Source organism: Homo sapiens, chromosome 15 (genome assembly GCF_000001405.40).
Source record: "Homo sapiens chromosome 15, GRCh38.p14 Primary Assembly".
Lineage (NCBI taxonomy): Eukaryota > Metazoa > Chordata > Mammalia > Primates > Hominidae > Homo > Homo sapiens.
Genome location: NC_000015.10, coordinates 60646758 through 60662982, shown reverse-complemented (window position 1 = coordinate 60662982; position 16225 = coordinate 60646758). Strand labels below are relative to the sequence as shown.

General features: G+C 41.5%; 1 protein-coding gene and 1 long non-coding RNA gene across 4 annotated transcripts in view, besides 3 other annotated features; one reads left to right on the top strand and one right to left on the bottom strand.

Annotated features, from left to right (window-relative positions):
- The window catches only part of RORA (RAR related orphan receptor A), a 741019-nt gene that overhangs the window by 566320 nt on the left and 158474 nt on the right, over positions 1–16225 (top strand). The gene's annotated exons all lie outside the window — the stretch shown is intronic.
- Positions 198–16225, bottom strand: part of LOC105370846 (uncharacterized) — a 30635-nt gene continuing 14607 nt past the window's right edge. Inside the window, exon 5 of the long non-coding RNA XR_007064663.1 lies at positions 198–15334. This is a non-coding gene — a long non-coding RNA (uncharacterized LOC105370846). The remainder of the gene's footprint in view (positions 15335–16225) is intronic.
- Positions 2324–2373: an enhancer, noted in NCBI's record as "active region_9512". NCBI's record gives its function as "activates an Ori minimal core promoter by ATAC-STARR-seq in GM12878 lymphoblastoid cells {active_cell/tissue: GM12878}" and the evidence as "EXISTENCE:reporter gene assay evidence [ECO:0000049][PMID:35858748]".
- Positions 10947–11036: a silencer, noted in NCBI's record as "silent region_6500". NCBI's record gives its function as "represses an Ori minimal core promoter by ATAC-STARR-seq in GM12878 lymphoblastoid cells {active_cell/tissue: GM12878}" and the evidence as "EXISTENCE:reporter gene assay evidence [ECO:0000049][PMID:35858748]".
- Positions 12341–12842: an enhancer, noted in NCBI's record as "NANOG hESC enhancer chr15:60942340-60942841 (GRCh37/hg19 assembly coordinates)". NCBI's record gives its function as "activates a minimal SCP1, AML or CMV promoter by ChIP-STARR-seq in primed H9 embryonic stem cells {active_cell/tissue: H9 hESC(primed)}" and the evidence as "EXISTENCE:reporter gene assay evidence [ECO:0000049][PMID:30033119]".

Here is a 16225-nt window from a genome sequence, read left to right as displayed (position 1 = left end):
CACCTAAGGGCATAACCTTGGGCAAGGCAGCTCCACTTTAGCTAAGGACAAATCTCAGGAAGCAATTCAGCTATGAGCCACTGGCAGTCAACACTCAGGGCCCCAGGGGAATGAGGGCCTCCATCCTAAAGGGAGGGACCTATGCAGCACACCACAGCATCCACTACAGGGGGACAAAAATGGACAAGAAATCTAGCTTTTGTGAAAAACATGTTTTCTTTTATTTAAAATGACACATATTTTATTGCTTAGCTAGGATTTAAACTAATAAAATATATGCTTGGCCTCAGCATTACAGTATACCAGAATTGCACATACTGAAGAAAAAAAAATGTTTTTTTCTGTTGAATAAGGTTCTTCGTTAGGATTTCTGGTCCTGGAAGCATGCATTATAAATCATATGTGTGTGCAATTCCATATAACGTTTTATTTTTCCACACATGGACATTCCAGAGCGTTAACACATTTTTCTCAATTATAAAAATGAATAATACATTTCCAACCATTTGGGCTCACATAAAATGTATTCATATAGGAACAAAAAGAATGCCTGCAAAGAACTAGTTATACATATTCCATGTTACTTTTTAGATTTTGACAGTTTGCTACTGTCTAATAATTGAGATACAGTATCTGAAATATTTTTGCAGGGCCTATTTATATGCATAGCAAGTCTCTCTTTTTAGTGGTTTATGAGACTCCACCCTCATTTTGCCTGTTAGCAACTACTTGCAAATTAAGCCAGAATTAAGTAGGAGATTAGTGGTGGCTATCAAAGATGGGAACCATCATAAGCTAATAATACCATCCCCCAACTGTTGTCATATGAGAAAAAGCTTCTCAGAAATAATTAATGATAAAGCACAAAATGAATTTTAGTTTCATTCATCAAAATCCCAACATTACCTCTATTTTAATGAAATCTGACTTCCATTTTTCTTCTAAGAATGGGAGATCCCAATAGGAGAAAATAAATCCAAGCCTTCTTCATAGAGTGTGGTTGACTGAGAAAAAGAGGTTAAGTGTTTCCACTCTTTGGTTCAATATACATCTTCCTAACACAGACCTCAGCATTCTAAAGTCCCAAGTTTTTCTCCATGCATTCGTGGGATTTTCACAAGTCAAAATACCCCTGTTCCCTCTGGGACCAGAAGCTTGAGATACCAGGTAGTTCTGGACAAGGGCTGCTAGTTTCACAGGTGCTGAAGTTTCAGAAAAATATCTGAACCTCTCGGGTTCTGATGGAGTCAGGGTTTATCTAAATGGAATTAAATCTTCCGTAGCTTTCCAGTGTTTAGTTCCCGTGCCTCTGCCTTGGAAAAGAGGGGGCCCTTTCAGGTTGATAGTGAAGTTAATTGAGATTATTCTTCCCCTTATTCAAAGAGAATTAATAGATGGGAGAAACCCTTTACCTGGTCTCAAAGTTTCCATGGTTCCAACAGCTTCTACCTGGGAAAATCCCCAACCATTCTTTTGGAGATCCCTGTGTCTGAGTGAAAGGAATTCTGAAACTGCCCATAGACATCAATGGCAGCTTGATCAGTCTGCCCTGGGTATTACCATAATAATTACAAGGTCCCAGGCAGATAGCAGCTTTTTAAGTGGCAAAATCACTGTTAGGACAGTGTCCTGTAACTCACTCTTGGGCCAGGAATCCCATGTATGCTATATCAAGTAACTCATCTACATTTGCCATTTTACAGATTGTGCCTGGCCCAGCACATCCGATTGCATGCCTTGTGCAACTGCACCACTTCTTTACAACACTTGCTGATAGTTAGTACAAATTACAGTGATTTTTTTATATAAAGGTAGCTAATGAGCTGAAATGTAAAGTAATTGCTATTTTCAATGGACAGGATGAATCTGCTCTTTAATTTTTTCCTGAAAAAAAAAAAAAATAACTCCTCTATTTTTTTTTTTTGCCAGAATTTCAGTGAGTGATTCACATTACTGTCAATTACACGCCCTTATTATGGATTACAGCCACTAGGCAGCTGTCCAGGAAAACACAAGTCTGAAAATGCTTCTGTTTTAAGAAAATTAAATTCATGGTTGCTCCTCCTGTGGGCATGTGCAGCAGGCAGGAAGCCTCCACTTTCTTGCCAAGGAAAGGGATAAGGACTTGCCTACTTTATCTGAATTAAATAGCCACTCTGACATCTTGAGATCTTGATACCAATGCCCAGATGTAGGGCTTGGTTTTGGTTTCTAAATAGTTTTTTTTTTCTTTCAGTGTGTGTTACAAAACACAGACTGGTGTTATAAAACAGTATTTCTGGTTATGAGTCACAGCAGTGCCTGTGTGTTACCAGAGAGGCCTCATGGAAGCTGAATGGAGAAACTGTTCACCTCCCTTCTTCCCAAAAGTCGGAGTTGACAGTTTGAGGCTCTTAGCTCTGTTTTCAAAGATGTCCTCGTTGCCAGCATATGCAGGTAGATTTCTTTTTAAGGTGCAGGTGAAACTACAACTGAAAATACTATCTGTGCTGTTAGGCTGCTCCACGGTCTAAGAAATCCAGCTTTTATATGGGCAAAATAAAAGCTGCTAAAGTCTGTCAGAGGTATTCTTCCTAGGAATGGTGTAAGATTTAGCAAAATATCTTTAAAGCATTCCATTAAGGTTGCCTAAATCATTTATGCATTTGGGAAAACTGAGAATTACTTGAGATTTTTCCAGTTCTGAGCCTTTAACTACATTTATATCTGATTCATAGAATAAGACATTTCAAATAATATTGCGATGAAGCTGACCTTCACATTATCTGTGTTCCAGATACATTGTGTCTAAGTAATGTCAGCGTCTAAAAGAAATATTTAAAAGACAAAGGATTGTGAATTGGGTGAAATCAGTTTCACCTCTTAGCTTGTTTAGATGCTAATTCAAGCCAAAAACTGAAAGAAAAAAAAATTTTTAGATGATTGATGAAATTTGAATATTGATTGGTTCTTTAGATGATAGTAAATAATTTTTTAATATTGTCAGGCATAATACTGTCGTGGTAGTGGTTTTTAAAAAATCCTTATTAGTTGAGATGAAGACTGAAGTAGTTGTGGATGAAATGACAAGATATCCAAGATTTACTTTAAAATGCTCCAGAAAATAAGTATGTTGGGGAGGACTGGGAATAAATAAAGCCAGAGTGATAAAATATTGTTTTAGCAGGGGGATGGGAACATAGTGGTAGATTATGCTATTCAATTTTTTTATGAACTCAAAAATGTTTGACTGAGTTCTTTTTTTCACCTCCTTGTTGTCTGTGATTTATCAGATGATTATTTTTACATTTGGGGTTTGATCACTTTGGGTAGTTAGTATTTAGTGAGGAGGACATGACAAGGATGAAGCATATCAAGTTCAGGCAGTCAACGATGATCTCTTGAACTATATAAAGTGTATGCATTGCTATGTAAATTATGCATTGATTGTTAGCATGCAAGTAAGAAAAGTTACCTTTTATACTAAGGTTGTCTGACCTTCCTTTCAGGTAGCGAAAAGGTGCAAGCATTACCTGCTCTTGTTTTAAATTTTTTCCCATGTTTTCATAGTCATTAAGGCCTAGATTTGATTGTTGGATGGACTAGAGGGTTAACTTCACCTCCCATGTTAGAGATGAGGACGTTTTCTCAGGGCAGTGTAATGTGTCTTGTTCAAAGTCAGTTCTACTTGCTTACAGAAGTGGAAGCAAGACTGGGACCCTTCAAAATCAGTACCCTTTTCCACTCTATCATGCTTCGCCAATCTTGTCCTTTAAAATACTCATTAACAATCTTCCCTCCGGGGATCAAAGCAGTTTTCTAAATCCAGACCAGTGACTGAGTGTCAGATGTTCATTTCAGGTAGTGTGGCCCCAAATTATCTTTTCTTTTATTGAACATGATTTCCAAGTTGTGTGATGAGTCCCAGAAGTGATCCTTTTTAATTCTGTTCTTGTTAATGCTCTGCAGCAGGTTTGCGGCATGTTCCTCCTCCTCGGGCTTACACAGACTTTCTGTCAGGGATGGGTCAATATACTCCAATGACAGTCTAGGTAGAAAGGAGGAAACACTTGGCCAGCTGATTCCACAAGGACCATCAGCCACTTCTACAGTGCCTTTCCAAAAGGCACTACAGAAACAGTGCCTTTTTTCTACTTTAAGGTGAAATTCCAAACATCACAATTGAAATAGAAACATTTTCCTTCACATGGGAGAACGGACCCTGTTTAGTCTTTGTGGCCAAAGCTCTTTAAGCACAGACTTACCTGTAACATGTTATCTTCTTTGCACTTAATAGCAGCTCACTGAGATAAAGTAGATTGGGTTGGCATTTATTAAATAATTTTTACAATTTAAAAGAGAGGTTTTCAAGAGTTTTACAAATAGCAACCCTCTGATTTCTAAACACGTGGTTGTGCAGATACATGTGAAAACAGAAATACATACAGAAGGGCTTTGCCCTGTTGGTATGGTCTGTGGGGAGATCAACCATGAAGTCTGGTCCTCTCTTCTGCCCATTGCAGAGATTCTGGATTCTCTTGTCCATCAGATTCCTAAGAAATGCAGATTTTATTTATGCATCCAGGAATCCCCTTGATCTCCCTGACCTCCTACTATATGGAAAGCACCAAGGATAAGAGAAGAAAATGGGCCAGGCACAGTGGCTCATGCCTGTAATCCCAGCACTTTCAGAGGCTGAGGTGGGCGGATCACTTGAGGTCAGGAGTTTGAGACCAGCCTGGCCAACATGATGAAACTAGCTGGGCGTGATGGTGCACACCTGTGATCCCACCTACTCAGGAGGCTGAGGCAGGAGAATCACTGGAACCCAGGAGGCAGAGGCTGCAGTGATCCGAGATCACGCCACTGCACTCCAGCCTGGACAACAGAGCAAGACTCCATCTCCAAAAAAAAAAGAAAAAAAGAAAGAAAAATGTAATCTCCTTCCACCCGCCACTCCCCGCTTTTCCTTTTTTTGGAGGAGGCAGTGGTAGAGAGAGAGAAAGGCCACGAATGCACCATCTAAATATTTTGGATGGAGAGGCCAAGAAAAGAGACAACATAGGAATCCCCACCCCTCACTGGGGGTCCTGGAAGTCACCGTGGATGAAGTGTTGGCTAAGAAATATTCCAGAACCTGAAGAGCAGTGAAGGAGGAACCGAGAGAGCATCTCAGGAGGAGATAAAGGGAAGTGCAGTGATAAACGTGGCAATTTATCTGTGTCCAAGGTATAGTTAATCCTTAGGATTTTATAAACTCATTTTATGTTTTCCTTTTTTTCTTGAAGTATGCCTTATAGAAGACTTAGCTTACTTACAACCCAAGAGAATAATTCTGCAGAGGAGTCAACGATTGGACAGGTGAACACAGGGAAGTACTTTGTTTCCATTTCAGGCTCCCAAGGAGGAGATTCTAAAGGGTCTGCACGCTGGCATAGCTTTTTAAGAACTGGCTCTGTTGTCTACACAGGGAAGTTCATTCCTTTTCTGGACCCTCAATTACAGCATAATCTGACTGGGGAGTAACTCCTTTAGTCCTCCAGGGGCAAAGGAATCCACTTACCTTGGCTTTGTTCATAGAAATATGGTTTGTCCCATTGTCCAGAGCTCTGTGGATTCTGCGTCGGCAGTTGTCATGGAGAGGGCCTGCTTCCCCAGGGGGTGGGGCAGGGGGGTATTGGCATAAGCAAAGCTACAGTTAGACCCACCAAGATGCAATATCCAAAATAAGAGGAGAGGGATGGGGAGAGGGAGAGGAGGAGGAGAAGAAAGAGACGGAGAAGGCAGAAATGCGTAGGTAGCTTTGGAGCTCACCCAGGGGCTTCTTCCACAAGCCAGCCTCCAACCTGGCAATCTGAAGACAAGGCCTTTTACTTTGTTCAAGAAACCCTGGAGATTTGTGGTTTCTAATATTCACGGTGCTGTGTGCCAACCCACATAGCCAATTCTGCAAGCAACTAGTGCTGCAGACACATGACCCATATTTCTCACAAATCCCACTCTTCAGTGGTCTTTCTATTCTTCTAATTATACCAAAAAGAGAGTCACTAGGGAGTAATAATCTCTCTTTTGCTGTTACTTTGTAGTTGGGTCCCAAACCACGGGCTTTCCTCTATCACAGCTTAAGTGTGGTATTTTTATCTTAGAGCAAGCCACCACTAATGGGGAGGAAAGAGGCCTTGGCCTCCTAGAGTGGTGGTCAACAGATTTATCTGTTACTTTTCCTTCCTTTTTAACTCAGGGCCTTATTTGATTTGGCTTGCCTGGACAGACGGGGAGATACCTGCCCAGCAGATTCCAACCAGTGTGCATTGTGTGGTCTGGCTCTGTGGCTTAGTTTTCCAAATCAGATACTCAAATGGTGTGTGTTGTGCAATCCTTAACTAAGTTATATTCCAAGTACTTGGTTTCGAGGAATCTTGCAAAATGGAGGAAGTTCACTATTTCACAAGTTTGATTACTATTGTTTTAAAAAATGAAAAAAAAAGAATCTCAGGGTTCAATGACTTAAAGATTCCTTTTTAATCCATACCTGTCTTATAGAGCATACTGCTGTTTACTTTGTCTAGTAAGTTTTTTATATACATGTGTTATCTCCCCTGCTAAATTGTAAACGCCTTGAAGGCAAGATTGGTGTCTGTCTGTTTTTGTATGCCTCCAAACTCGCTGTACCATTACATAATGAAACAAGGCAGACACATATGCATGCTGCACTGGGGACTCAGAAGGCCCTAGTTTTGAGCCTGCTGTTTCCTGGCTGTGTGATCTGGGGAAATTCCAGCTAGGCCTGGTTTCCGTATCTGCGAAGTGAGGAAGCAGGACTGCGTGGTCTCCCAAACCTCTCTCTTCCTAAATTCTGATTCTAAGGGCCAATCAGATGTTGACTTGGGGGAACTAGAGTTATTCCAGTCTTTATCATCAATTTTTCTCTGAACCTATATCTCAAAAATAGATCATCTAAATTTCTCCAGTTTGGTAGAAAATATTGATTTTTACCTCCATAATACATCAAAAAGAATCCAAAGTGAGAAGTTATTGTACATCGCTAATATAATCACTAAGTGTTAAATTCCTTGAAATTATTCTTTAATCAGCTAGCATGGCTTAATTTATTTTTCTTTAAATTAAAAGGCTTACAAATACTGAACAAGGATGAGGGTCTCAGAAAAGGTGAGGTACGTTGCTATGGTCTGCAGTCCCTGTGCCCAGAATATGTGTGGCCTGTTGACAAATACATGTGTCTGTGTCTGAGGTTGAAAGGTACTCCCCTTTGCCCTTCTTCAGCAGGTATGAGTAAAATCCGACGAAAATGAACATCCAAAGAGACAGAGAAGGTAGAAGTAGTAGGAGACTGACTTCTACTGTAGGAAGCTTTAGGAGAAAGGGGTCACACGCTCTGAATGACATTCATTCTAGCATTTGCTTCCTGACTGCCTACTGTATACCAAACATTCCTCAAGGTGCTGGTATTTGCTAATTGTATTGTACAGTAATTGACACTGCCTCTCCTTCCTGCTTGTCCCCCTGGAGCTTTGAGTCCCTGGAAACACTAAACAGGTATTCTTAAAGCAATTGGCCGCTAAGTGCTGTTTATCATGGCCTATGTCTCCTTTACTTGCTCCCAGGAAAGAGCTTGCTAGGCCTGAAGGGCTCAAACACAACTCTGTAACCGCTGGGGCCTTGCCATGGATATCTGGGTAACTGTACACCCTTCTGAGCCTTAAAGGAATGTTTCTTTCATCCTAAGAAAGAGAGAATTTTTTAAATCAGAAAAGTTTCCATGAGGGCGACAGAGTGAGACTCTGTCTCAAAAATAAATAAATAAATAAATAAAAATTTAAAAAGTTGCCATGAATTTGGTACATTCCATTCTCATGACATCTTTCCCTTATATTTTCAGTGCATCCAACAAATATTACTTTACGAGTCCATCTCATATACCAAGCCCAATACTAGACATAAGAGATGCAGTAAGTGGTAAACAAGTGTATTCGTTTCCTATGGCTTTTATAACAAAATACCACAAACTCGGGACTTAAAACAATGCAAAACTATTCTCTTAAAGTTCCAGAGATCAGAAGTACAAACCCAGTTTTATTGAGCTAACACTCAGCCAGTTCCTTCAGGAGGCTCTAGGGGAATATCTGCTTCCCGACTTCCAGTTTTAGAGGCTACCTGGATTCCTTGTCTCATGGCTCCTTCCTCTGTCTCCAAAGTCAGCGACGTAGCATCGTCCAGTCTACTTCTGTCCCTCTGCTTCCATGGTCACATCACCTTCTGTGTTTCACCCTCTTGTCTACTTCTTATAAGGACCCTGTGATTACATTGAGCCCACCCAGATAATCCAGAATAATCTCCCCATCTCCAGATCCTTAATTTAATCACAGCTGCAAAGTCCCTTTTGCCTAAAATAACATATTTGTAGGTTCCGGGAATTAAGATGTGGACATTGGGGAGTGGGGGTGGGGACACATTACTCAGTTTACTGCGTTAAGGAACACAGCATTTCAAATCTCAGAGAGCCTCGGGTCTACTTGCCTAGTTGCATAGCAAGGGAGAAGTGGGATGGGTTTCTGTTTGCTTGCTTGCTTGCCTGCTTTGTTTTGAATGCTTTATTCTAGTCATGCAGTTTCAGTGCAAACAAATGTGTAAAGTGAAATATGGGAAAAATGTTTGTTAAATTCAAATTGTGTCAAGGTCAAAAATAAATCGGCCTCTTCTAAAACTCTACCTTGAAAACAGTTCAGTGTACCATGGAACATTTTAGGGTACAAATCAAAACAGTTGCATTACCCCTGTCTCAGGATGAGAAGATTGGAATCTTCATTTGCAAAGAGAAGAAATAAGACTTCTCTGTCCTTAGCCGGTGAGAAGCTTTGGTCAACAAGTCTTTATTCAGCAGCTCCTTTGACTAAAATGACAGGCATGCTAAATCCCAGCTATCTAAAGAGGCGGCCTTCACGGGAGAAGAAGAGAAGCTGCTTCTTCATGTAAAGTGTTGGCTGCAAAGGTCAGGGTCTCCTGATAGAATCCTTGCTCCTGTTGAGATTTTAATTGACCCTAAAGCTGTTTGTAGTTTTGGACACTCAAAAGATGAAAAACATGATACCCTAGGGTATCTGAAACACAAATCATAACATTAGGCAAATAAGACAGCCAACATGGAGAAGGAAGAATTTGGCCACTATTTGTAGGAAATATGATATCAGAGTAAAAAAAAAATGAGACAAGGTGGCTGAAACAGGGCTTGAGAGGCAGACACAGTCGGACTCTGAGCTGAGAAAGCCTCTGAAAGTAGACAGTGCCATGAAAAGTCCATTACCATGGGCTCAACTTCCATCACAACCACCTACAAGTAATGTGGCTGTGGGCAGGTTATTTAATCTTTTTGAGTCTTATCCGTAAAAGTAAGATAATAATATCTGGCCGAATAAATAACATGTTGGTATAAGTATGTGCTTCCTCCATGCCTGGCCAATCAACATGCAGTCATTCATAGCAGTCACTTTGTGATGAGGGTGAGGACGGGAGCCCTAGGCTTAGCCCTCCCATCACTCCTTGTTGTACGAGTGCACTTTGTCTTCTGTGGTTTCCCTTGATATTCACTTTGGCCAAACAGAAGACACTGGTTTGTACTTCTGATTTGCTTCATGACCTGAACATGTTCAAATACGCACACACACACACACACACACACACACACACGCATGCACCTGTACACATTATGCCAAAGGACGACCTTGTATCTGTGGCTCATATGTGGCAGCCAGTTTTCCCAGCAAACTCAAGCACTCTAATAAGGGTTTGGGCTTTGCCCAATCAGTTGAGATTTGTCTGCAGGCTCATAGGTCATTCCCCCTAGCAAGCTAAAAAAATCACTTTCAAAGTGGTTCATAACCTGTAGAAACGAAAGCCCACAGCGTAACATCTCAGGTAAAAAATCCAGTGTCACTCAGATCACGCTTACGGGCTGAAGTCTGGTGATTATGAAGTGAACTCTGTTGTTGCAAACCTGTGTGAGCATCAAAGCCTGTCATCACTTTTATTGGCAGGTGCCATGGGCTCAGACAGCAAGAGGGCAGGATGGGAAAGTGCCACTGAGCTAGTCAAACAGAGAAACAATGGAGAGGAAGAGAGCAAGCACCAGCATTGAGCATTTTGATTTTTCTAAAAATGGACCTATTTGTATAGCGGGAACTAATTAAAACTTACGGCCATGTGGTTTGTGTTAAATGTTAAGTGTTTCAAAATGGTTAAATGTGTTCTGTGCACTTGATGGAAATGGGATTCTCTACCAACTAATTGAGGGAAGGGGGAAAACATGGAAGGGATTAGTTTTCTAGAAGGAAAATGAAAATGAAAAAATATGATGCCAATTTACTTTTCTTCCGCATAGGGGATTTGAGAAGATTTATCTTAGCTTTTCTGGAAGGACACATATGCAAATCATAGAACCATGGAATTTCAAGATTAGAAATCCTTTGCAGTGGCCAGTCTAAACTCCTGTCTATTCTCGGGATCTACCACCCTGCATCCGGCTTATGCGCAAAACCTGTCACAGAGAATATTCACTTCTTCATTTCTTTTCAAGGCAGCCCATTCTATTTTCGAGCCAATCTGGCTTTTAGAAAGTTCTTCTGTCTACTAAGTAGGCAATCTGTTTTTTTACAGTCTCTACCCATTGGCCCTACTTATGCCTTTCTTATGCTTTTAATTATCTTTAATAATTTCACAGTTGGAAAAATGAGCTAAGTTGGGTTAAGTAACTTGTGCATTATTACATAGCTACTAAATAGCAGGGCGAGGATTTAAATCAAGGTCTGCCAGAACTGCACGTCTCTTGTTCTTTCCATATGTCACCCAACCTTTCACTCTAGAGGAAAAAAAAAAAAAGGCAGTCTGCTACCTAGCACAGAGGACACCTAACAGGAAGTGAAGGAGAGGTTGAGATCAGAGGCGGGAAGGGAGAATTGGTGAGTGGAGTGATGGAACAAGGTAAAAGGACACCCCTCTTTGATCAGGGCTACACTTTCTTAAGCCAGGCCCCTGTGGTTATCTCAGTGTAGCTCACATCCAGCTATTGACAGCTTTCCACCTGGTGACATGCTTAACGGCCCATGAAATTCTAGCCCTCAGGGCTCAAGCCTGATATTTATGGTTCCCCACATAAACCTAAAGTGGATTGTAAATTTATCTCTCTCAGATTTAGGTGGCTAAAGTGGCTGTTCAAAACTCTGCAAGGGAGAGTGGCCTTTATGGACATGTTGTACTAACTTTTAAAAAGACTGGGGCTGAAGGAGGGTGCAGAAAGCTGTGTGGTTTGTGGGAATGCTCCCAGAAGCCCCCTGGAGTGGAAGCCTTTTTGGTATTGATGTTATGGGGGAAGGGCGGTTGGGTAAAGGGATGTAGCTTGATTTTGTTCCATAGAATAGTGGCATGTTTTGTGTAATCAAAAATCTGTTACAATGAAAAAACCATGAAGGTTTGCAAAGGAGCAATCAAGGGAAGCTGTTCAGCTTCGGCAGGAAACTTTTTCTAAGCTCCAGAGTATGCCAAGTGGATATTGACATAGCTAAGTATGTATGCAGCGGGACATATGTAAATAGGAATACTCTATGTTGAAATCTGGACAAACCTTACTGAGACCTTCTCCAGAGGCAAGCAACGTGTGGTATTTATATGAGATTTGATACATCTGGAAACAGCGGCTTTTTCATCTCTTGCTTCTCGGAGATGAACTTGCACCATATGCAGGGTGTCACTTAAATTTCACCGGCAAGTTCTGACATGTACGTTTAAGAGAAAACTTCCATATGTTTCCATGAAAGGATGGGGACATAGTAACAACCACCAAAGTGATAATATTTCCTCTGCCTCACATCCGCTCCCTAATCAAAACTGTTCAGTATTCTACTCCAAAAGTTTCTTCCTCTTTCCACCGCTGACAATATGCATTGTTAACGGAAGGGAGTGGTCAGGGGCTGTGTGGCGTATTGGAAGGGACTCGGACATTAGAGGCAAAAGGACCCGGGTTTGAATCTTAGCTTTTCTATGTATTTATTGTATAACTTTGGGCTTGTTTCTTAATCTCTAAACCTCAATTTCCTAATCCATCAAAAGGGGATTAAAAATACCAACCAAAACATGGTTATGAGGATAAATGGCACGAAGAATTGAAAACTAAATAGATTTATAAAACAAAAATATTGTTTGCAAAGGGTTGGCATAGTTCCTCCTTTATTCTGGAAGTTAATTTGCTTGGAAATTCAACCATGTACTAAATCTTCCTCCCTAGGGACCAACAGAAAATTGCAAACTCCTGAGTGGAAACCTTCACGAGGGCTCCGCAAATTGGTGCTCTCTTCTCCTGGTTTCATCCCGCAGGAAGAGACAGTCTCCCTATATGAATGTTCACACCATGAGAAACCTTTCTCACCCTCTCTCCGTGGAATTTCTCTCCCCAATTTTTGAGATATCCTCGACTCAAGGCCAAAGCAGTGGTTTGAAAGGTGTTTGGAAACCAATGTGAACCATCGTGCTTTCCCCTCCCCCACTCTGGGGGTGGGATTTTCAGGCCAACTTTTCTGAAGCTACTTGTGAGTTAACCTGAAGTTGGAATGCCCTCCTGAGGTCGAGGCATAAAAGCCAGCAGCGTAAATAGAAACTGAAGCTGAAATAACCATAAATGTTCTCGAACAACTTCAATAGAGAAAGCCTTGTTTGATCCTCTCTAAGCTTCCTGAAACCAAGCTGAATATTTGTTTGTTTTGTGGTAGCTCCACTTTTTTTTTTTTCCTCAGGCCTTTTAATGCATGGCTGTTGGTTTCTGTTTAAAAGGAAAATGCTTTTTCTCAGTAACGATGTTCACATTCTGAAGTTGGTGATACCCACTTCTAAAGGCCATTTTATTGTAAAGATAAAGTTCTGCTAAGTCTTAGGATGAAAAGATAAAGGATGTGGTCAGTTACCATGACTCGTGCTTACCTCCCAAAGTGTGTCATTTGGTGCACATACCTCAAAACGTGTGAACAGAAAGTTTCTAGGTTTATTTTTATACATGGAGATTTGATTCCACGGCAGAGGGAGGGTGTCAAGGTAAATGACTGTGCAAAAATGACAGAACTGCATTTTGAGCTTTCCGTTGCCAGAGATACAAAGGCCAAGTTAAGGTGAGTTTGCTATTCGATTGCTTTTTGAGGGGTCTATTGGTAATTACCACTGCTGTTTAATATTGCAATATTCATGGGACCTCAATGTTTACACAGCTCCATGGATGCTCAATCCAAATTAAACACGCCCAAGAACAACACAGGGAGAAAACACCTGGGGGCAAAGTGAGGGGCTGCAGTCACAAGTGATCAGATCTTTTGCAGAAGATAGCAGTAGAGGGGCCCTTCCTTTTGGCCTCCTTTCTGGCAAATGTGTTTCAACACCGTTAAACTACATATGATATTGGACTGATTAGCAACTCCTAACACAGAATGTTCTGACGTTAGAAGAGCTAGGAAGTGGCGTGTCAGGGCTGACATGCATGGCAGAGTTTTCAGATACACATACAGTGTTTTTTTCTACACCCTGCCTCCAAAATGTCAGTGTCCCTAGGTTTCTGTTTGTTGCAGAGCCCCTCAATATGTGTGTGGGAGGCAGCACTTGAAGCCAAAACAGTAATGGCCAGATCTTCTGTCTGCAGCCATGAACACAAGGAGAAAGTGCCAGGTGTCAGGAGCAAGAATCTTATATGCCGGGGATTTTTTTTTTTTTTCCTGGAAGCAACTGGAAACCAACTTAGTGACACTTAAGTCCTTCACCTGCTACATGACTTCAGCCAGTGTATGTGAGTCAGAGTGGTACCAAGAAGGGCCCTCATCTGAACAGCCACAAAAGTGACGGGCTATGGCTTGGAATGGGAATATTATACTGTGTTCAGAGTCACGGCAACTTGAACTTGGCAGCCTTATCGGCTTCTGAGATTATGAGTGCCCCACAGCCAAGAGCACCTGTGAGGAGAGTTGACTGTGGAGTGGGATATAGATTGAGAAACCTCTTTCATAGCTGACAATCCATGTAAACTCCTTTAATATGTGGATGGTTAAGTAGCAGTTTAAGTGTTGGAATTACCTGGCCCTGCTTTACCATCTTCTATATATTCAGTATAAGACACACTGGGAATTACTGAAAGCTTCCCTCTCCCCCCTCAAAAAGAGTGGATGGTGCTTAGAATTAAGAGGATGTTTCCAGGGTGTCTTTCGTTTCCATCATCAAAGCAGATAAAATTAACTCTATTAGAAACTGAGACCCCCTCCGTGAGGTATATTAGTCATAAGTTCTCTTTGCAAAAAGGCTAGTCTTCAGAGGATTGTTAAGATCAGATTTCATGACAGACATGTTTCAACATATTTGTACTTCTCTGAACATGCTACATTTGCTCTCATGTGTTGTGATTAGCTGGTTTCAGTGTTTAATCCATGGCATGTGGCATTTTTCTGTAGTAGTGTTTCTGTGGAAAACTTTATCCTAGGCTTGTGGAAGACCAGTTATAACGCTTTGGATAAAGTATGTCCAGCATTTCTAAAAGCTGCAGTTTCCTAAGAAAATGATCTACGGGCACCTAAGGTTAAAATCTTCAGAATTATTTTTTGTATTTTCTGAAAGTGATTTTTAAATGAAGTTGAGAAATGGTACTAACAATGCATCCAATATTGATATAATTAGAATATGCATCATACTCTACTAAAGCCAACCTTCTTTAATATGTTCATATATAAACATAAAGAGGTATGTGGTTTATTGTATATCCAATTTTTCATTTATCTGCACCTTCTTCAGGATCATATTTGGAAGGCACCTACGTGCTCACTTGCAAACAGAATGAGACACCGTCATGCTTTCTAAAGCGTGTTCTCTCCTGCCCTCCTCCTCCTCCCTCAGTCTGCCTTATATTAAGTTAGCCAATCGAAGTCAGCATTACAGCCTCCCCTTTGGCCTGTGTTCTCCATCCTCCTTATATAAGCCTTGGTGTCCCCACACCTCTTCACAGCCACCTGGTCCGGCAGCCTGTAATAGCTGTCTCACTCTTCCTCCTCCTCACCTGATGCCTGCGGCTGACCCAACTGCCTCTGGGGTGTGATCCCACAGATTCTGAAAACAGCTGCAGCAGGCTGAGGGTGGCTTCCTGGTCACGTTCATCCAGATACAGAGAAGGCTCTATATCAATAATGGGCATCCTCTGATGTGTACTTTTCTCTCAACAGTAAACACCTTATATGATGTTTTTCAGTATCTCCTGAGTATAAGGTGCTGGGCTCTTCTCTCTTTCTGAACAGTTCTGGTTCTTTAGTCCTAGTGCAGAGACAGCCTTTGTGATTAAAAGACAAAAAAATGTACTAGTAATAATAAGATTTTCCAAGGCAGTCACCCAGTCCTCTCTTCTGGTTTGTTTTTCTGTCTTTCCCTCACCTCCTCACTCCTGCCTTGGGACCAGTTGTGCTTTTGCTCAATTCATTCAGCAAACAATTAGCAACAAAGCTGCAGGCTCTGGCAGTGATCAAAACGCTGGCTGAATCTGCCAAGGTCTTCCAAGCACTTAGAAGAAAGGCCAGGATCCGCAAAGCCAGGCAGATTTCGGGTGTCACCTATGCAGGGCTTCATAAGTCTCTGTCTTTTCTGGCTCAGGGAACTACCCCATGGGGTCACTCACAAACGTGTATGCCTTCCCTCTGTCTTCTATCTGAGTGCGGCTTAAGGGTATAAGCACTAAGGAAAAAGCTTAAGCCATCACAGCATATCTGAGCATAAAGGAAAGATAGATAAAGTCCTTATACAAGAAAACTGAGGCCTAGAGTTGGCAAGCTATACCCAGAAAGTTAGCAGGAAGGGCCACAGAATGTACTCGAACAAAAGCAAGAATGACATGGCCCATTTCCCAGTCAATACCAAGTGAACCATTTTGGAATGAGAATAGCTAGTTACATCTCTTGCTAGACTCCTCTTCCAGGTCATAAACACCTCCTACCAACAGGTTACTGAGCCCAAAAATAAATATGGGAAATTTGCGTGTATGCTGCACTTTGTATTTTCTGCCTCCTTCTCAATCCTTAATTAAGCTCCGCAGCCACCCTGTGAAGCCGGTCATTATCACTGGGTGAGGAAACGGAGTCCCACAGGAGCTATGTGACTTGCCCAAGCATACGAGCCAGACAGGCTGGGCAGGGTGAGACTTTCCAGTTTCTGATGCCCACGCCCCATG